The following is a 22,596-nucleotide window of genomic DNA, read 5'->3' as shown; positions in this document are numbered from 1 at the left end:
GCTGGCCCATAAAGTACTATACAGCCACCAGAGGCTGGCAGGCACTCCTCTCTAAAAGTAGGCAACAAAAAAGAGACATGTCTTGTAGAGATTTTAGAAATTACCTTACCCAATCCTTAAATTTTGCAGATTAGAGAAACCAAGGATCATGGTAGTTAATGAACATCTATGAGAACACACTACTAGAGTGTGGCAGAACCTACTTCCCTAGTTTCTAGACTCTCAGTGTTCTTTCTACCATGCACTATTTGTTGAACCATGGCATTGCATCAGTACTAAAGGAAAACTGCATTGAAGGGAAGAAACCTGAAAAAAATGCCTCCGAGTTTAACTTCAGATGTGCAATTAGTGCCTTGGTCCCAGCTGATGCCTTGATTCTGTTTGCTCCGGAAATAGTATTTTAGCCAGCACCTGTGAGGTGTCACTACCTCCCACCCCAAGCACTTTCCATGTGGCAAGACAGTAAGACTTATAGCAGACTAAACTGAGAGAGTGTTACCTACTTAAACTGTTTTTCTGACTTAATAAGAATTTTTCATCTACAGCAAGCCATTTTAAAATATTGTCTATACACAGTCACTCTGAATAATAGGTCTGCACACAGTAAATGTCACCTCTCTAAATCACAGGAGACCTTGGCAGCACAGCACAGGAGGCTCCATAACAGTTTAAACTTCAGCCTCCCATTTATTGTGGATGTGTTTATAAATCTCACAGGGCACTCTTCTGCCTCCTGGGAAATCCAAAAACGGTGCCGTTGTTTGTCAGGGTGTCTTGTCCGGGATGTTGAAGTCCTGGCCATCCTTCTTACACCTGGATCCCATTTGGCTCCAAAGTGGGTCAGCCAAGATTGTTGTCAAAGATGCCATTTTCTCCTCCTTAATGACCAGAAAACTCTGTTCCAGCAAAAGTATATGGGGCTTTGAAAACTGGGGGGTTTTCAGAATATATGCGGGAGCTTTCTTTCTTTTCCTTTTTTTTCCCCTTTACCTTGAATAAATGATCTTCTCTACAAAAGAGCTTTGAGTTTCTCACATGAGGGAAGCAAAAGACAGCTTACACAGCAATGGCATTGAAAAACTCCTTAGCCATTCCCATCTGTCTTGGTTAGTATGAATACTTTAGCATTAAGTGGAGAAAAGGAGAATCCATCAATAGTTAATAACTGACCTTAAGATGGGAATTCAAAGTTCACCACAATTACACCCAAGTGTCAGGGAACACACATGGGACACTATCAATATATTTGAGTACAAGAGCCTGGGATGGCAAATTTAAATACCATCAGAGAAAGAACTGAGCATTATTTCATGAGAAAATATTGTTACTATGTCTGCCAGCCCATGCTCAGATACTCAGAACCAAAATTCTCAGGAATAATTGTGGGAGGTAAGCATAATCTAAAAGAGCAAGTAAGAATCAAGCTGAAATTCCATCATGTGGTGAGGTTGTAAACGAAATGTTTCTTAGATTCAAAGGCAGATTGTATTTTAAAGGTGGAAATGAGATTCAGTAAAAGATTAAAAGAAAACATGTTTGTGCTGAGAGACTCAACATGGATTGTCATCAAGGATGTGCAAATTAAAACCACAATGAGTTATCACTACACTGGAATGGCTAAAATTAAAAAGACCATCAACACCAAATGCAAAACAACTAGAATTCTCTCACACACTGTGACACTGCTGGTAGGAGTGTAAAGTGGTACAACCACTGTGGAGAACTACTTTCTAGTCTCTTACAAAGCCAAATGCACACATATTTTATGACCCAAGCATTTCATTTCTGGGTACTTACCTTGAAGAAATGAAAAGTATATGTTCACAAAAAAGACTTGTCCAAGAATGTTCACAGCAGTTTTATTCATAATGGCAAAAATGTGGATGGGAGCCAAATGCCCATCAAAAGAAGTAGTAAACCTGGCAGCATATTCACAGAATGAACTATTAATCGACAATACCAAGGAATGAATCATAGATGCAAGTACGTTGATAGATCTCACAAACATTATGTTGAACAAGATCAGCTAGACACAAAAGAGTACATCCTTATGTGATTCTATTTAAATAAAGTTCAAGAACAGGCAAAACTAGTCGATGGTAATAGAAATCAGAATAGTGGTTCTCTCTGAGGGTAGAGGGGGACACAAAAAAGAGACAGGAGGAAAATCTCCTGGGAGGGATGCTTGGCGTTCCTTACATGGGTGCATATAGACGAGTTAAATTTTGGACTTAAGTTCAACTCATTTTATCTATTCATTAATTTATGTAATTATACCCCAATTAAAACAAAGATAAATATATATGGATTAAGAAATGTAAAACTAATTATCTTCCCAGTGCTCACGATTATAAAGGCTTACTACTCAAACGGTGAGCCACAAGCCTGTCAGCAACATCACCTGGGTGTTTTCCAGGAATGTAGAATCTGGCTTCAGACCCAACCTATTGAGTCAGAGTGTGAAATTTAATAAGAAACCCAGAAAATTCATATGCACATTAAAGTCTAAGAAGCATGGTTATGATAGCTTTGGTTTTTAGAGAAAACTACAACACCCATTCATCCCATTTCAGACAAAAGCAGTACCCTTCGAGGGAGTTGCCTCAACTCCATTTGTGTAGTACAAAGATTGCTGTTAATCAAAGTGCACCGTCAAGTCCTCATTCAGCCAAGAAGTGGACATGTCCCTTAGCGAGGCCAAGCAGATTCTCTGTCCTTAGACATTATCTCTAAATGGAAGAAAGCAAACATTGAAAAACAGCTGAAGTTCATTCATTCAATGATGGTAGCAGATGAGACAGGTGCATGGTTCTTGCTGCCACCATCTCTTCACTCTTAGATTTGTCTGTGTTAGGAGCCTGGTTCTCTATTCCTGCACTGAATTCTGCGAGTCACCTGTTATCCTTCCAATAAATTCACTTTTGGTTAGGTTAGCCAGGCTTGGATTATTTTGTTTGCAACCTAAATCCTTAACTGATATTCTGTATTGACTCATCCAAAATATTCAAGGATGCTAAATGTAGTTTTTCATTGCATGGCAAAAAGCTGATTGTGATTTTGTTTTCTGAAAGCTTTTTTTGTTTTCAGAAAACTGATTTAGGAGGCACTATAGGCCAGTACAAAAGATCACCTTAGAATCTTCCATGCCATCCCATTTTACCAATACAACCTCAAGAGACTTAAGTCCCCACAAGGTTCGACCTCTATAAAATAATTCCACTGGGTGTGCCATTCACATTTATTCTTCTCTGTTTTGCTATATACCTGGGAATGACAAATGGGGTAAAAATCAGTGGGAATCCTTAAAAATCAACCACCAAGAGGTAAAATTAATTTGAAATTCAGAGACTGGTAAGCTGTTGCCTGTGTGGCCTGCTCACACTTTAATATTTCTGAAATAAATATGACATCGTCAGATTTGGGGGAACAAAAATTAGTCTTCTGGTAGAAGATTGACTGCTGTGTAATAGAAGTCCACTTTCAATTTTTCTTATTTCATACAAAAACAAGAAGAATCTTTTTGTGTTAAAAGTGAAAGCTCATTAAACTTTTTTATTCAAGTAGATATTGACAATAGCAAAATAAACACTTTGCTTTCTTTTTTAATCTAAAGACATTAGTTGTGAAAAAAATCTATTGGTTTTTCATAAATACAGTTAATTTTAAAAGAAAGACTCAACTTTTGAACTTACTGATTTTCAATTAAATATGACTTCCTTGTTAACTTTGTGTAAAAAAAAAACCACACACCAAAAATGTTTATTTTCACTTTTAATGTCATCTACAAAAGGGGATTATTTTAAAAAATGTGAATGAACTTCTAAATTTGCATTGTGATAGACTATATAACAGAATTCCTCCTACTTGGTTTTCAAGGAATAAGTTTCAGGTTGGATGGGACTTGATCATCCATCATCACAGCCATGGTCACAAAATGAAAATAAATTATTTCTTTATTTTGGAGAGACTCTTTTCTAGGACCAGGGACCATAGTACAAAAATATTTTAAATGAAGGAGAAATGGATTACATGGCAGATACTACCAGTTGCCTGCCTAGAATCTATTCCTCTTTTCTTCCTTACTAATAGGACCTGGGTTTATTCTGGGAGGCAATGTACCAGTTAAAATACTCCATTTTCTGGCCTTCTTCACAACTACATATGCCAATAAGATATAAACAGAAGTCATTGGGTCGGGATTCCTGGAAAGTTCCTTAAAACACTGAGTATGGAGGTGGTTCACTGTTTTATCCTCAACCTGTATGTCTCCTTTTGTGTGGAATATACATGTGATGACTGGAGCACCTACTTGCCATCTTGAACAATGAGTCTTTGAGGCTGGAGGCCTTTTGAGGACTACCAAACCTTGCTAGAGATATGAGTCTCTACTCTATATGGGGCTCTTCTGTTAGGCATAGCTAAATCTAAATCTAATTCTAAATGATACAGGTGGGTATTGCTTTCTTTATGTTATATCTCCTGGTTTGTGGGTTTGTCCTTTAGAATCATAAAATGTTAGAGTTGAAAGAAAACTCAGAGAACATCTAGGCAAAATTCCTCATACTATAAGTAGGAAGAGGCCCAGAGAGTTTCAATGATTGCCTGAGACCCTGCCAGAGTTATTTATCAAGTATCAATTATAATCAGAATTTATCAAGTACACATTTTTATGCCTGTCAATGCAACACTTTCCAGGACCCAGGACATCTGTCTTCTTTCCAGGATACCCAATGTGCCTCTAAATGCATCACCTTTCCTTGTTGAAATCTATAAAGTAGTACAGATCTAATATATACTTTAATATTAAAAATATTAGGGAGAGAAGCTTGTCTTTTTAAGCTCTACCATGCCTCCATAATAAATATGGGCTGACAGAGAGTCAATGATCATATGGATTCCATTCCTATGTGTTTACGTGCACATGCACGCATGTGTGTCTGTTTCAAGGAGAGATAGTAGTAGTGTGAAAGCCATTTTTAGAGGAAGCAACTCAAACCGCTGACGGACAATGATGTCTGACAAGCATTTCTTTTATTGAATAATCCAGTTTACAAATGCATCCAGAAAGACTGAGGAGACTTGACTAGGTTGAAAATATGACAACCACAATCAAAGCCCAGATGGGAACTGTGCTGTGAATCATAAGGTTAGGACAGGGAGGTTTCTCCTTAATGAACTCAGCTAATTATAGTAGATCCCCCGGTCAAGATATACACTGTTCTCCTCTGTAGCAAAATCCTGTTCATGTAAAAAAGAAGAGACTTGAATTGCTCTAAGTACTTTGCAAGATCTGCTACTTGTGCTTGTTTGAAAGATTCGGAAGCACCATTGTCTGGGTGCAGACTGACAGCTGAAAGTAAATCAAGACAGCAGTTGGGGAAAAGGCACTTGAGTAGCCAACTTGCCTGTTTCATAGATCCTTACAGAGAATATAGGCATGCTGGGGCATTTTTGTCTTAGCAATTACTACTGAGATTTGCCATTGCAGTGATCCATGGGGATTCACTGAAAAGGTTAATAGCATCTATCAGATTTACAGGGTACAACAAGGAAGATGGCACATTCCCCCAGTGTAAGGTGTAATGTCACCTGTGTGGGCTGAGCAGTCCACATTCATTACTATTCATTGTCCAAATGGCCTGGGTTTTAACCAGTCTTGGAATGTAATCTGTCAACAGTTGAGCATTCATCGCATGAGAGGTAGCAGGAGAGAATAGAAGAGAGAAGACAACAGAACTGGCATATTGTGCTATCAGCTGATGGACCTTCTGCAAAAGTTAAGACTAATCAATGCCTGCAGTGAAAAGTTGAGACAGTGTAAGACCAAGGTGAAAGTAAATATACAGACCTTGTAGTGCAACTCTTAAAAATAACTTCATTAACACACCCACAGGCATGCTACCAAAGCTCAGCGTAAAGCTGTTGTTTCTCATCCACTCATTCTTACACAGAGTTTTCAAAAAGCTGTTCAGATTTGTGTAAATATGTGACTGTAATTGGCTTTCTGATTTCACAGCTTATCAAAGGCATAAAGGAGGGCTCACCGACATTTCAAAGACAATAACCACATTTGATGTGATGGTCTATGATTCTCCCCAATGTTTTTAACCCGCTATTGGAGAAACAGATGGTTAGATTTTCTAGGAAGCTTAAAACAGAAGCTGAGCTAATACAAAACTGCTCAGCTATCAGATGGGGCAAATCCATTCTGTTGCCTTTTTTTATTTTATTTTTAAATCACAACCCATCAGAAGAAGGATTTAGCTTCACAAAAAGCTATTTACCAGGAAGCTTTCTGCAGAAGAGAAGGACATGCTTTGTTAAACCAGATGCATTTTATTTTTCCTGGAACCAAGATTTATGAAAGCAGTATGCTCATATTTCTCCATATACAGTAATTGGAACTCATTATGCTAATTGTATTTCCATTATCACTAATTAACAATCAGAGTGACCTGGCCCACAGTCTAATTTGTCTTTAATCTGTTTTTGTATAGGGAGTTTTACCCTGTAATTTCAAGGTGATAATTCTATTTAGTGCAACTTTATGAATTACAGAAGGTAACATTTTTGATACCCCATACTATCCCTTTGTAACTGTTTGGGATGAAATGGGGAAGCAAATGTATATACCTACATGTGCCCTCTCACTGATGAGCTAGATACTTAACCCATGACATCATAAGTGCATCCTTCATGATTCTTGCCCAGATTGAACTTCCAGTAAAAGAAAGACACAGTTGTCCATACTCAAACTCCAGCTTTCAATTTAAAATATGTAATACTTAGTATAAGAAGTTAGTATTTTCTGTCATCAAGAAGCAAAATGGGTGTTTCAAATATCTTCTAGTGATTAGTTAAAAACTTACAAATACTTCCATGTGACAAATCTCTTGTAAAATGGCAAAGGACAGGTTTGAATCATGAAGCAACTCCCTTCTCATAAAATGAGATATCCAAGGGAGAGAGAAGACACAGCTTGATATTCCCTCTCAGAGGATATGTTTGTTATTTTTTGGGAAAATGTATAGCAGCAGGATGGTAGAGGGGGAAGAAGCTGGATTTTCAGCCCAAGCTTTTGAGTTAAGTCCCATTCCAATGCTTAATCAAGAACACCACCCTTTCTGAACTTTCGCTCCTTCAGCTTTAAGACTGAGATAATATATTTGAGAGAAATGTTCAAGGCGGCAAAGAGCAATGGTTAAGAGTAAAGGCTTGGAAATCAGACTGACTTTTAAAATTTGGACTCCACCACATATTAGCTGATAGTCTTAAGGAAAGCCTCAGTTTCCTTATACGTATATTTTAAATGGGCATAAAACATAGTTCCTTCTCACAGAATTCTTTCGAGATCAAACTAAATAAAGACTAATGTATATAAGAGTTTTGCAAAGCTCCTGGCCCATGGTAAGCCTATAACAAAGGCTGGTTCTGATGTCTGGGAAGAAGTCACGTGCAAGTGCTTAGTAAACAGGAAGAACAGGGGTGTGACAATCGCTAAGCGCTAAGGTATTTTGTTTCATCCTGCGGATTGAAAATGAACATCGTGAACCTTCGCAATTGTGAAGAAAATACTTCTATTGATAAGGACAGAGAATACTATTGAGAGAGAGAGGGATTAAAGGAGACAGAGTACTATGAAAACTGCACATAAGAAATCCATTTTAGGCCAGGTGCGATGGCTCACACCTGTAAGCCCAGCACTTCGGGAGGCCGAGGCAGGCAGATCACCTAAGGCCAGGAGTTCAAGATCAGTCTGCCTAACATGGCAAAACCCTGTCTCTACTGAAAATACAAAAATTAGCCAGGCGTGGTGGCAGGCGCCTGTAATCCTAGCTACTTGGGAGGCTGAGGCAGGAGAATTGCTTGAACCGGGGAGGTGGAGGCTGCAGTGAGCTGATATTGTGCCACTGCACTCCAGCCTGGGCAACAAGAGTGAAACTCCGTCTCAAAAAAAAAAAAAAAAGAGAGAAATGAAATTGAGAGACTATGCCTCGGCTTATCCTAAAAAACCTTGGAAATTTCTGAGGGCAAGCATCTGATACATTTTCTCATACACTGGCTTCTAATCTGAGTAAGCAATGCCCCAAATGGCACCTGATCTGGTAGGTTTCATTAGATCTAGCCTCTTAGCCTGATTGGCTTGGTTTTCCTTTATAAAGTCAGCAACGATGAGTTCTTTGGAAAAAAAAAAAAAGAAGAAGCCCCTCTGTAATATCCTACCCCACTGCTACCCAGCCGTCTGCCAACACTTTAGAACCAGTTGGATCACCACACCTTTTCTACCGCACTAGAAAAAGAGTTCTCATGTTTTCAGGGAGCCTAGGTTCTTAGTTTGGCCTCCTATGCCATGACAGGGAGATTTTTCTGAAGCTCCCAGGGTCTCAAACAATTTTAGCTCTATAGCATACCCTGGTTTCACAGGCACACACACAAAAAAGTGATTTGCTTTTCCTTGTCCATGGCATAAATCATGAGATATCACGTAATCAACGAAATAATCTTAATCAATGCTTCACCGTCTGGCTTTCCATAACAATTCTAACTCCCCGTTGATGTTTTCCATCTTCCCTTCTGTTAGACCAGATGGTGCATGTTCTAGCCTCTTTATTATCTTTTTCTGACCATAGTACTCTGTCCAAAGATTGTTGTAAGAAACCTCTTGTGCTGTCAGCAGCAGTGGCTCTGTTCTGCCTGTGATACATCAGGATAATTCAGGCAGCCTTTGCTAATGACTCCCCATTTCTAAATTCAAGCTTTTTTCCAAAGTCACTTTCTGACTAGTCCATAATTGTTTGATAACACAACCACTTTGATCTTCACGTATCCATTGTAAGCTTTCTTTTCCAGGTAGCAGCAAAGTCCAGTGGGAGTACTTCCCAGCTGGCATGATGCTTTCTCACTAGAAGAGTTTGCAATCAGCATCCACCCAAAATCACAAATGTCTTCTTTCTTATTAAGAAAGGAAAAAGAGTCATTATACCTCCATGCTGAAAAAGTTAGACCAGTAGATTTTTCTCACATACATCACAGTTGAATTATATTAATCTTCCTAGACAACTATTTTCCATTTGTTTTTATGTATAAGCTATAATGCATATGAAAAAAAAACCCTTGAAATAACTGACATATCTGAATATCAGTGGCACAGTGGCTCAAAAAGAAGATGATGGTGAGTCAATTAAATCTGTGGATGATTTTAAATATTAATAGCAACAATCAAACCTATACTTTTCCTGCTCTGTGTGTATATTTGTGTATGTGTTTAAAACTATCAGCACAAAATTAATTCCCAGATAGCAATATCCTCTCTCTAGAAGTCATTTTAAAAATGATATCCCCAAACAAGCTGTTTTTCTGGAGTTTTTGCTGATCTCCTCAAAACATAAATTCACATAATACAATGGGTAGGAAATATAATTGATATATTAAGTTGAAAGAAAACATCGGTATCTGAAGTCCAAAGAATACACATCAGTCACCAAGTCGATAGATATGCTCACTTGCCATCATTTTTCTGTGGTATCTGACAGAACTGAATATCACAGTGTGGAAAGATTTTATCAGAAAAGTTTTTCAATTTGTTCTTTAGGAAGATAGATCTGCAAATATTCCCTTTATTCCTAATGATTATAGAATGTAAATCTTGTTATAACCCTATTTCATGTACATTTTATCTCAGGATAAGGTAGATTTCCTTTTAGGCAATTTCTTTTTTGTTTGTTTGTTTTTCTCTGACCAGCAAGCACAATATATGCTTGGTCCTTGGGTTAAGATGAAGCCCAAAAATTCAAACTTTGCATGCTGTGACCATCTTACCATAGGGACATATTAGCTGTATTGTCTTACCCAAACAGTGTCTGTCACATTTCCAATCTGACTACATGTAAAGAATTTCCTGTAGTTCCCATAATCAGTATTTGAATCTTAAAGCATCTTCCAAACCACACACACACACACACACACACACACACACACACACAAGGTATAGTCACCAGGCTATGGTCGAAGCTTCTCATTTTCTACTTATCCACATGACCTTAACTTATTTACCTAAGGAAAAATAGCAACCAGGATTGGGTTTTTTTTTTCCTCTCTAGAAATTTAGGACAATACTATAGAATGTAATTTTATACCAAGCACTGTATCAATAGAGGTTAATGTGATTAAACATCTTTCCTAAGCCTTAGTGAAAACTTTACATGATTCTTACTTTACTGGTGAGGTTTCTAGGATTTGGGACATTTTTAGCTCCTTCTTTTCTGTTCAAGAGGAGAAATGGAAATGTTTCATTGTGCAATTGATTATATTCTTGTTCTCCAAGTGCATGCTGCCTGATGATTTGCATGTGGGGGCAGCCAGAAGGTCTCTGAAACATTTCCCTATAAAACCGTTTTGTTGATAAGCTTTCCCATAAGCATGGCTGAGGAAAATGGGTCAGATTATATTTCTGAAGCTGTTTAAAGAAACATCTTCCAAATTGAGCAATATACTCTAGGCTTTCATAAAGCATCTGAAGTGTTCAAGTTTTCCTCAAGTCAGGCCTGAGAAAAATCCCAAATTTCTCCCCTTTCTCCTGCTCTTCCCAATACCTGAACATGGCCTTCATCCTGCGCAAACTTTATTATCTCACCTAATTACAATAGGTGCTCTTTCAAGGACGGGGGCATGGTTATTGTCCTTCTTTATTTTCTACATATCACAAAGTGTTATTAGATATAATCTCTCCATTTTTATTTCAAGCAGAACAAAATCATTATTAATTAATTTGCAAAGACTTCTAAAGGTTTTTTAGACATGGTCTCCAGGTTGTTTTTATCATTCCACATCTTTTACACTTTTCATGATTTCATTGCTACTTCGAATAGAAAGCAAAGCTGAATTGAGAAATTTAGCTGGAATCTCTATTGCTGCAAATTGTGCAGAGTCCTAATGTTCTGTTTAATATATTCCTTTGGAATCTTGTTTCTTGTGAGGATTTTATTCCCTCTTGCCATACTTGCTGCCTGTGAAAACTGAGCTTCCAAATTCAGAAGTAGGGTGGGTGTTACGTTCCTCAATAGGAATCTCATGGAATGGTGTGTGACGTGATTCTGACAAGGATGGTTGATTTCAACTTCATTCAAAATTAGTTAATGCTAACTTATTTGTGCCTAGTGAACATAGGTGTTCATTTCATTTTTTTTCATTCATTCATGCATTTACTAATTTAATATTTATGAAATAAGTCTCTATGTGATAATCCTTTTGTAGGCTCTTGGGATACAGGATAATTAAGATATAGTTACTGGCCCCAAGAAACACATAGTTTAGATGAAAAGACCACACCTAAATGACTAAACATAAGTTTATGAGAGCAGGGATTTTTCAGTCTTAATAAACAGCTGTCATAGTACCTAGAAGTGCCTGGTACATCAAAGGCCCTCAGTGAATATTTGTTGAATAAACCAATGACTAATATGACATAATGATGGCAGAGGCTTAGTCTATCTTTTCACTGTTACATCCCCAACACCTAGAACAATGCCTAGTTTGTACAAGGAATTCAATTGTACAAGGAATTCAATAAATATTTAGCACTAGCTATGGGACTGGCATGTGATTGGTATGATGATGATGATGATGATAACAATGATAATAAAGAAAACATTAACACTTACTATGTGTCAGTACTTGCACCACCTCTCAAAAAATTATTTAATCTTCGTAACCGTCCTATGAGATTGAAACTGTTACTATTCCCATTTTCAGGTGAGAAAAAGTTAGGTAAGCCATGCATCTAAGGCACACAGCTAGAATTACGGAGCTGAGATTTGAAAGTAAATGATCTGCTTCAACAACACACCCTCTTCAACACTTTGCTACATGCTCAATGCATGTCTGTTCAATTGACTTATCTTCAACTACAGCCAGGCTTTTGAGAGTCAAGAATAACAGGTTAACTGGTCTGAATGTTATTCTCTTGTTTTGTTTTTTTTTTTTTGACAAATCTCCTCAAAACATAAATTCACATAATACAATGAGTAGGAAATATGATGGATATATTAAGTTGAAAGAAAACATTGGTAGCTAAAGTCCAAAGAATACGCATCAGTCACCAAGTGGATAGATATGCAACTTGCCACCATGGACTATGTTACTCATATTTTTCTAGCACTTCACTGCTTGAACATATAGTACTCCATGGAATCCTCACTTACTGAACGTAGTTTTTGAGAAATATTTTAGAAGGGTAACTCTACCTATGGTTTGTAAAAGACGTCAAAGGAGGAAAAAACTAACACCAAGAGAGCAAGAAAGATTCCTGAGGAAAAGTCTGAATAATGGGGACTTCTCTGAACCAAGAAGATGTTTGTAGGAGTAGAGCTAATGTGCTCAATAATATGTAGAGATTGCCTAGCTATGGCCAGTAAAGGAGAAAAAGATCATGTCAGTGGTTGAAGCACTACTAAGGGACCGGAGGTACTATTTACTGAAAATTTTAAAAAGTATCCCACCACATAGTTTGGCAAACTACAGTCCATGGACCTGATCTGGTCGACCACTTATCTTTATAAACAAAGTTACACGGAAACACAATCACATCCATTGGCTTACATATAGTCTATGGCTTCTGTCCTGTTACAGCAGCATTGTTCAGTAGTTGCAATAGAGACAATATGACCCACAAGCCTCCAATGCTTTCCCTGCTTACTATCTTAGATTCCATGTGCATGTCCTTTATCCACTTTTTTTTTTTTTTTTTTGAAACAGAGCCTAGTTCTGTTGCCTAGGCTGGAGTGCAGTGATAGGATCTTGGCTGACTGCAACCTCCGCCTCCCAGATTCAAGCGATTCTCCAGCCTCAGCATTCCGAGTAGCTGGGATTACAGGTGCCCACCACACACACCCAGCTAATTTTTGTATTTTTAGTAGAGATGGGGTTTCATCATGTTGGTCAGGCTGGTCTCAAACTCTGAATCTCAAGTGACCTGCCGGCCTCGGCCTCCTAAAGTGCTGGGGTTACAGGCATGAGCCACTATGCCTCTAGTGGCAGCAAGAGCCCTCTATCTGTTCTTGAAAGGGTGCAAGGATATTTCAAAATGTTCAATTAATTAATCGACGTTGCTGAACTCTGAAACTGAGATAGACTTGCTTTCAAAACAAATCCCCTGATAAATAAATTATGCATATAGTAACCTCACCTAGGCAGAGTCCCAAGGCACCCACCTATAATTGAATCAATTTAGTTCACTGCTACTCAAAAATATTTATTTAACACTTTTCTCATGGCTAAATGGGCAGTGATAAAATGAGTAAAGGCAAAGGTGATAGTTCGGTGGATACAATAAAGTAGTAGTTATAACCTCACTGAGATGTTAAAGTGGTCAGACACAAGGAATTCCACCAAATACAGCCCATTTTTCTTCTCCTACAATAACTTCAGGTTTCTTCTTTTCTTTCCTCTTTACCTACCCCTTAAGGCCACCTTTAAGTGCTGCTTTCTCTGAATGAAGTGGAGTGAAAACAGCACTTCTGTGGGAAGCCAGTGACACATACTGGCTCTCTTTGGTCACTTCCTGGATGATATTACTTGCTAAACCATTTAGTTTTTTTGACATTCCTTGTTTTTTCTCTTAAGTGGTGATAATTTCCTACAAGTTGAATGGAAGGAGGAGTCCTACTTTTCTCAGAGATCATTTCCAGGTCTAAGAGCTCTCTTTCTAAGGTTTTGGCTTCATTTGGACACCTCACAGCTCTGACTCCTTCTGAAAAGTTACATGTACATTCATACCTTATGTAGTAGCTGGATGTGTCCCCCACAAGATATGTCCACCTGGAACCTCAGAATGTAACCTTATTTGAAATGAGGGTCTTTCTGGATATAATAAAACTCTAGATTAGCATGGGCCCTAAACCCAAGAATAGGTGTCCAGATAGGAGACAGAAAAGAAGACACAGGGAAGAGGCCAGGTAGAGATGGAGCCAGAGACTATTGTTATGTCTACAAGTCAAAGAGCACTAAGGACTGCTGATAGCCACTAGAAGCTGGTAGACGGGCATGGCACAGATTCTCCCTCAGAGCCTCCATAAAGGTACCCACCTGTCCAACACTTCGATTTTTTTTTTTTTTTTTTTTACTTCTGGACTTCAGAACTGTGAAAGAATAAATTGTTGTTTCAAGCCACCAAATTTATGGTAATTTGTTATAGCAGCCCTAGGTAATCAATACACTTTATTATATAATTTGTCTTCTAATTCTCGATGCTCCTAAAAATTGGGATCATTGCTATGTGCCATACTTTCTTTCTGTCTTAGATTGCTACGATGTTTTTGGAAATTTTACAATGGGTTCTTTGTTAAGTAACAAGTCACAGATCTTGAGAAAACACAATCACCCTCCCCTCAACTTTTTAGAATTTAATGTGAGTTCTGCATCTGCCAGAAAATACATTTTTTAAGCTGAAAATAATTTTTTGAAAAATATATCCCAAAGCTTCTATTAGAAACTTTTAGAGATATATGCCAAAAAAAAACGAGCTGCAGACAAAGATATAACTGTTTTTAAAAATCCTATTCTAGCATATTAAACACACACTTACTTTCAATATAGACAATTAATGCCATCTGCTTTACTTTTGGACTCTAAAACCACATGATTTGTGTGTTCAGATAATTTTCCCCCTTGGAATTAGGGTTTTAAAATAAGGTGTCTTCCCTTTCAAAAAGTAGCTGAATGAATCACTGGCTTTATTTTGGAAATCAAATGTCTAGCATTTATGAATTTTAACTCACATTTATTAGTAAAATTTCATCAATTACGTAATGGATTGCTAAAATGTCACTCTTATGCTTCACTCTCAAAGTAACTACATGCTATATGCTTAGGAAAATATCATATAATTATAAAGTGATTCTGGGTTCTAGTAGATTACTCAGTAATTATACTTAATACTGTAGTTCCAATAGTGATTACTATGAAAGCTCATTACAAAAAGCAGAAACAGTCACATATGTATTCTTAATTATATCTGCCACAATAGAAGTTAATGTTAATTGAAGTGATTTATAGTTAGTATGGTAACTCAATTAAAAATATGTACTTGTAGTGATAACCAACCTTTGAAAGAACAAAGTGTCAGATCAGTACCAGAAAACTTAAAGGAGAGTCACCTTGGCCTAATTCTGTTTGGTTTTATTTACTTGGGAAATGCTTCTAACATTCTCGTTCTATGAGCTTATTGTTCTTATCTTCCCAGCATCAAGGACAGTACTTGGCATCTGGAAGTACAGTACCTTGTGTGTACTAAATAAATGAATAAATAACTTGAAATATTTATTATAATCCATACACAATTTGATGATGAGATCCGTCTGAAATTATTCATAAGTGGATTGTAAGATTCTAAGTTGGTGCTTTTAATATTTTGGGGTCATTGGCCCCCGTGGAACTATGGTATGAAAGCTCTTGCTCTTCCTTAGTAAAATGTGTGTAAACACAAAGTTTTGCAAATGCTTTCTGGAGGTTCTAGGACCCCCAGAAGCTCATTATTGAACTCAAGTTAGTATTAAATCACAGTGACTCTGGAGAAAAGAAGCATTTTGTGAGCCTTACTATGTACTCTCAGGTGGGTGATGTTAGGGACTTTCCCGAAAGAACCGGTAGTATACTGTTTTCTTAGTTTTTCCTTTCTCTGTCATTTTAAAAAGGTATATAGGCCGGGTGTGGTGGCTCATGCCTGTAATCCTAGCGCTTTGGGAGGCCGAGGAGGGCAGATCACCTGAGGTCAGGAGTTCGAGACCAGCCTGGCCAACATGGTGAAACCCCATCTCTACTAAAAACACAAAAATTAGCCAGGCCCGGTGGTGGGAGCCTGTAATCCCAGCTACTCCAGAGGCTGAGGCAGGAGAATCCCTTGAGCCCGGGAGGCAGAGATTGCAATTGGCCGAGATCGCACCACTGTACTCCAGCCTGGGCAAAAAGAGCGAAACTCCATTTCCAAAAAAAAAAAAAAGTATGTAGAAAATTAAATCATTATTTCACTCATAACTAATTTTGCTTCACAAACACTTTTAAATTGTCCAATGTGGGAAATTATACAAAGTCTATTCCTTTGATAGGTGGCAACAAATAGCATACATTTTCACACATAAATATACAACTCGTTGAAAAGACAAGTGTGAGACATAAAATTTCTAGTTCACAGGAGATATTTGGCTCTATTGCTGAAATGTTGCTCATAACACATTCCTAAATGCAGATATTTGTAAGATGTCATTGTGGTCAGCTGTCATATAAAATGATGACTGTTTGCCCAGTTCCACGGTATACAGAATCCTGGGTCAAGAATTGGGTGGACACAGGAAGTGTCAGACAGAGGCTCCGCCCTTGAAGAGCTCATTATCGCACCAAAGAAACAGTAACAATGCTCAGCAAATATGATGGGACAATATCAAAGTGCACAGTCAGAAATTCTCCTGGGATCCAGAGGACAGGCATAATGAAGGTGGGAGTAGTGGATAAACTTCAGAGTCAAGGTGGCAAACAAATACAATCTACTTTTTATTTCCCAACTTTGTTTCAATGTAGACGTAAGAATGTGAATATTGACCAGAATGAAATAAATCAGAAGGTCTGATTGAGATCTCAGTTTAAAAGCCTGAAAGTCTAAGAGACTATGATATCCATTTAGGAGACCTGAACATCTTACATATTTTGGAACTTTTCTGGGGACCAAAGTGATCCAGACCCAGGTGATACCACCTAGAACTTTTTCATCATACCTAGAAAATCGGTTCTGAGAAGGAAAGAGAAGTGTGTTCCCATTGACAAGCGTGCTGCTTAAGATGTCTTTTCATCCCAAAGTAGAAGATTTTGTAAAACCCTTCAGCTACAAAACCGCAAAGCATTAGAGAAAATAATTAATGTAAGCAAATTATGATAAAAGTATTTCCAGCCATCTCTTGACCTAGTGGTAAATTATAAGTCTCCATGCTTAAATATAAAATCCAAAGGTACTTTCTTGGCAATTGACAATGGGAGAGATTTACGCATTACGTTTATAGATGCTTAAAATTGAAATAGTAAACCAAGTGCAAACACACTTCTCTTTTTTTAAGTTTTGGGATACATGTGCAGAATGTGCAGGTTTGTTACATAGGTATGGATGTGCCATGGTGGTTTGCTGCACCTATCAACCCATTATCTAGGTTTTAGGCCCCACATGCATCATTTTTTCGTCCTAATGTTCTCCCTCTCCTTACCCACCCCCCCCCCGCCCCGACAGGCCCTGGTGTGTGTTGTTCCCCTCCCTGTGTCCATATGTTCTCATTGTTCAGCTCCCACTTATGAGTGAGAACATGCGGTATTTGGTTTTCTGTTCCTGTGTTAGTTTGCTGATAATGATGGCTTCCAGCTTCATCCATGTCCCTGCAAAGGACATGATCTCATTCCTTTTTTGGTTACATAGTATTCCATGGTGTATATGTGCCACATTTTCTTTATTGAGTCTATCACTTACGGATATTTGGGTTGGTTCCAAGTCTTTGCTATTGTAAATAGTGCTGCAGTAAACATACATGTACATGTGTCTTTATAGCAGAATGATTTACAATCCTTTGGGTATATACCCAGTAATGGGACTGCTGGGTCAAACGGTATTTCTGGTTCTAGATCCTTGAGGAATTGCCACACTGTCTTTCACAATGGTTGAACTAATTTACACTCCCACCAACAGTGTAAAGGTGTTCCTATTTCTCCACATCCTCTCTAGCATCTGTTGTTTCCTGACTTTTTCATAATTGCCATTCTAACTGGCATGAGATGGTATCTCATTGTGGTTTTGATTTGTACTTCTCTAATGACCAGTGATGATGAGCTTTTTTTCATGTGTTTGTTTGCCACATAAATGTTTTCTTTTGAGAAGTGTCTGTTCATATCCTTCACACACTTTTTGATTGGGTTGTTTTTTTCTTGTAAATTTAAGTTCCTTGTAGATTCTGGATATTAGCCCTTTGTCAGATGGGTAGATTGCAAACATTTTCTCCTATTCTGTAGGTTGCCTGTTCACTCTGATGGTAGTTTCTTTTGCCTTGCAGAAGCTCTTTAGTTTAATTAGGTCCCATTTGTCAATTTTGGCTTTTGTTGCCATTGCTTTTGGAGTTTTAGTCACAAAGTCTTTGCCCATGCCTATGTCCTAAATCATATTGCCTAGTTTTTCTTCTAGGGTTTTTATGGTTTCGGGTTTTACATTTAAGCCTTTAATGCATCTTGAGTTAAGTTTTGTATAAGGACACACTTCTTTTTCTTCTATTTTCTATTTTCATTTTGGAAATCTGAAGGCTGTTTTTTCTGCTCTCATTCTAGTTTCATATTCTGATATACTCAGCATTCCCAAGGCTTGAAAAACATATGAAAATTGTTCAAATGTTAAAAATTTTTTAAAGTAACATATCTCTATTCAGGGATAAAAGTCACCCAGTAGAAGCAACCCTTCATTTGCTCCTCCACCAAGAGACTGTCAATGTCTTCTCCAAGGAATATTTCCCTGCCCCTGAGATGTGGCACACTGAAAAGAATATAGAAAAAACATGCAAGTAGTTCCTCCCATTCTTCTGGGAAGAAACATGATTTTTGTTTTATGGTGAGTCTGTGATGGACAGGGAGTATTTTCTAAAATTGACCCAAGGCTGGGCACAGTGCCCCACACCTGTAATCCCAGCACTTTAGGCAGCCAAAACAGAAGGATCACTTGAGCCCAGGAGTTCAAGACCAGCCTGGGCAACACAGGGAGACCGCATCTCTAAAAAATAAAAAATAAAAATAAAACTGACCCAGGGAGCTACACCTGATTTCCAGGTGGATTAAAAAAAAAAAAAAAAAGGTTCTTTCTGATTTTAGGTTCCAAAACATTGTCAAGTTAAAATGGATGTTTCATTAAAAAAAATTCTCATTCCCCTTTGACCACTGATTCAATATCTATGACTAAAACTACTTACACAGTGATAGGCGCTCCCTAAATTTAATTGTTCAATAAATACTAACTAGCACTGAGTTGGTGTCAAGCATTGTTCTTGGCACTGGAGGTAGAGCCAGAGGCAGAGTCTGAGGAAGGCAAGACCACCTGAATGATGAGGCTAGCCCAGCAGCACTCCCTGAAAAACCAATGATTTTGCTTTTCAAGGTCAAAGAAGACAAGGTGTTGGGGCACTTTTGTCTTCCATAACAATTTTCATACACGTGGAAGTCTGTAGCTTGTTTTAACAAGAAGCCTCAGAAACAATGGCTTCATTGAATGTCTTCCTCTGAGAAAGTCTACACCAATCTCTACATTACGAATTCTTTCTGACTTGGTTGCTTAAGTATTCTTTAGTTTAACTTTAAATAGGTAATACTTTCACATGGTTCAAGTTTTTTTTAAGTACTTAATAAAATGCATTCCTTCAATTCATTCTACCCAATGCCTCCCTACTCACCCAAAGAATACTCCTTCTCTTTCAAGGTATAATGGTATAACCACTGTTATTGTATATCTTTTAGAGTTTCTTGATTCATACACAAATGAATGAAAATATATTTGTCATTTTTCTATCTCCTTTTTTTTTTTTACAAAAAAAAGCATTCATACATACTATTCTGTTTTCACTTAACATTAAATCTCAGATTCATTTTATGCTGGCACATAGAGAATTACTTCATTCTTTTTTGAAGCTGTATAGTATGTCATTATACGAATGTACCATAAATAATATTCGTCCAGCCCCAGTGGACTTTCAGGATTTTTCTAGTCTTTTACTATTCAAAACACCACTGAAATGAATAAACTTGTACGTATGTCATTTCTTATGTATGTAGTGTATCTGTAAGATAGATTACTGCAAATGAAATTGTTAGTGAGTATATTCATTTGTAATTTTGATGGATATTGATAAATTATCCTTCAGAGTTATACCAGTTTATATACATATCATTTTGAATGCCTATTTCCATACAGCCTTACCAAAGAGTATGTTGTCAAACTTTTAGATTTTTGTCATTCTGGTGGGTAACAATGTTACAATAGGGTCATTTTCAATGTACCTTTCTTTCTTTTTATAAAAGAAGTTAAACATCTCTTCATATGCTTGAACGAGATATTTTAATGAACTCTTTGTCTTACTTTTGATAAACCTTTCTTTTCCCATTTTCCTATTGGATGTGTGAACATTCTCTTAATTTCTAGGAGTCCTTAAAGTTGAGAAAATTAGCCTTTAGTTTGTCATGAGTTGCAGATTTTTCCAACTTTGTCATTTGTTTTTCAATTTTGTTTTTAAAAATTTTTTGTCTTTTAAAAAAATTTAATTTAGTATAGTTTTACTTTTCCAAAAAATTCTGTGAATGAATTCCCATATACCCCACACTTGATTTCCCTATTATTAACATCTTATGTTAGTATGGCCCATTATTATTATTATTATTATTAACTGAAGTTCATACTTTATGCTGATTTGTTTGGCTAAAACTTTTTATTGACATGAAACTTGTGTAACATAAAATTTACTATTTTATTTTATACTATTCTAATAATTATGATTACACTTTTGTACATTAACATCTCAGTGATTATGTTAACTGAAATAAGCAATGCAATATTTTTCTTTATATAAAATGATATATTTACTATTTACAAAGCACTTACTCAGTGTTCTACATACATGGCCAACTGAATCTTTCAATGATCCTTCACAGTAGATATTTCATACTATTTTAAAATGTATAATTCAGTGGAACTTATCCAGTGTTGTACAACTACCACCTCTGTCTAGTCCTAACACACTATCACCAACCAAAAACAAACCTCATACCCATTATTCAGTCACTCCCTATTCCCTTGTCTTTTCAGACACCGGCATCCACCAATCTGATTTTTGTCTCTGTGGATTTCCCTATTCTAGATGTTTCATATATACGGAATTCTACAAAATGTGATCTTTGATTCTGGATTCTTGTATTTGGTGTAATGTTTTTGAGATTTATCTATGTGGCAGAATGTGTCAGTACTCAGTACTTTTTTCCTTTTTCTGGCTAATATTCTATTGTATGTATTACCATATTTTGTTTTTCCATCATCCATTGATGGACATTTGTTTAAATTTTTGAAGAACTACCAAACTGTTTTCCACGGCGGCTGCACCATTTTATATTTCCACCACCAACATTTCAAATTCTCCACACCTTCACCAACACTTGTTATATACTGTTGTTGATTTTTTTCTAGTAGTATCTCATGGTTTTGAGTCCCTGATGACTAATGATGTTAAGCATCTTTTCACATCCTTGTTTGCTATTTGTACTGTATATCTTTTTTGGAGAAATATTTATTCAAATACTTTGACTACTTTTTTGTTGGGTTATTTGTCTTTTTGTTGTTGAGCTGTAGGAGTTTTTTTTTTGTTTGTTTCAGATACTAGATTCTTATCATATACATGATTTACAAATATTTTCTCTCATCCTGTAGGTTGTCTTTTAACTTTCTTAATGTTGTATTTGAAGCAAAAATATATATATATTTTCCCTATGTTTTCTTCTAGTTTTGGTTCTTATGTTTTGGTAATTGATCAATTTTGAGTTAAATTTTTATCTGATGTAAGGTAGGGGTCCAACTTCATTCTTTCACATATAGATATCCAGTTGATCCAGCACTATTTGCTTGAGACGATTCTTTCTGCATTGAGAAATTTTGGCTACTTTATCAAAAATTAATTGAAGTGGAGGGAACTCAATGGTACTGCCATAAAAACAGACACAGACCAATGGAACAGAATAGGAAACCCAGAAATTAATCTGTGTATCCACAGCCAACTGATTTTTGACAAAGACACCAAGAACACCAGGGAAAAGAGAGGCTCCTCAATAAATGGTGCTGAGAAAACTGAATATCCATATGCAGATGAAGGAAACTAGATCCCTCCCTCTCACCCTATACAGAAAATCAATTCACAATGGATTAAAGACCTAAATGTAGAACCTGAAACTATGAAACTATTAGAAGAAAATATACGGAAAGCACATCAGGACACTGGTCTGAGAAAAGATTTTATGAATAAGACCTAAAAGCATAAGCAATAAAAGTAAAAATAAACAAATGGAATTATATCAAACTAAAAAGCTTCTGCACAACAAAGGAAACAATCAACAGAATGAAAAAAAATTGGTAAATTATCTCAACAGACATTTAACAGAAGAAGACACATGAATGGCCAACAAATATATGAAAACATGCTCAACATCACTAAACATCAGGGAAATGCAAATCAATACCACAATGTGGTATCATCTAATCCCAATTAGGATATCTATTATCAAAAAGACAAAAAATAACAAATGCTGAAAAAGATGTAAAGAAAAGGGAACTCGTATGCATTGTTGGTGGGAATGTAAACTGGTATAGCCACTACGAAGAGGTTGTATTTTGGGAGGTTCCCCAAAATACACTACCATAGGATCCAGGAATTCCACTCCTGGGAATTTATACAAAGGAAAGGAAATCAATATATCAAAGTAACATCTGCACCCACATGTTTATTGCAGCACTATTCACAATAGTCAAGATATGAAATCAACCTATGTGTCCAACAA

At 36.9% G+C, this 22,596-nt stretch overlaps 1 long non-coding RNA gene across 1 annotated transcript in view, besides 1 other annotated feature; it reads left to right on the top strand.

Moving 5' to 3' along the window:
- The window catches only part of LOC105374785 (uncharacterized), a 48,470-nt gene that overhangs the window by 18,628 nt on the left and 7,246 nt on the right, over window positions 1-22,596 (top strand). The gene's annotated exons all lie outside the window — the stretch shown is intronic.
- Window positions 187-1,787: an enhancer, noted in NCBI's record as "HHc2:066104 HCNR fragment used in the ZED reporter construct". NCBI's record gives its function as "activates a minimal GATA promoter in forebrain, hindbrain, eye, branchial arches, neural tube and otic vesicles of 24-48 hpf transgenic zebrafish embryos {active_cell/tissue: forebrain | hindbrain | eye | branchial arch | neural tube | otic vesicle}" and the evidence as "EXISTENCE:transgenic organism evidence [ECO:0001131][PMID:22448256]".

This window comes from Homo sapiens, chromosome 2 (assembly GCF_000001405.40).
Source record: "Homo sapiens chromosome 2, GRCh38.p14 Primary Assembly".
Classification (NCBI taxonomy): Eukaryota; Metazoa; Chordata; class Mammalia; order Primates; family Hominidae; genus Homo; species Homo sapiens.
This window is presented reverse-complemented; position numbering and strand designations above follow the sequence as displayed.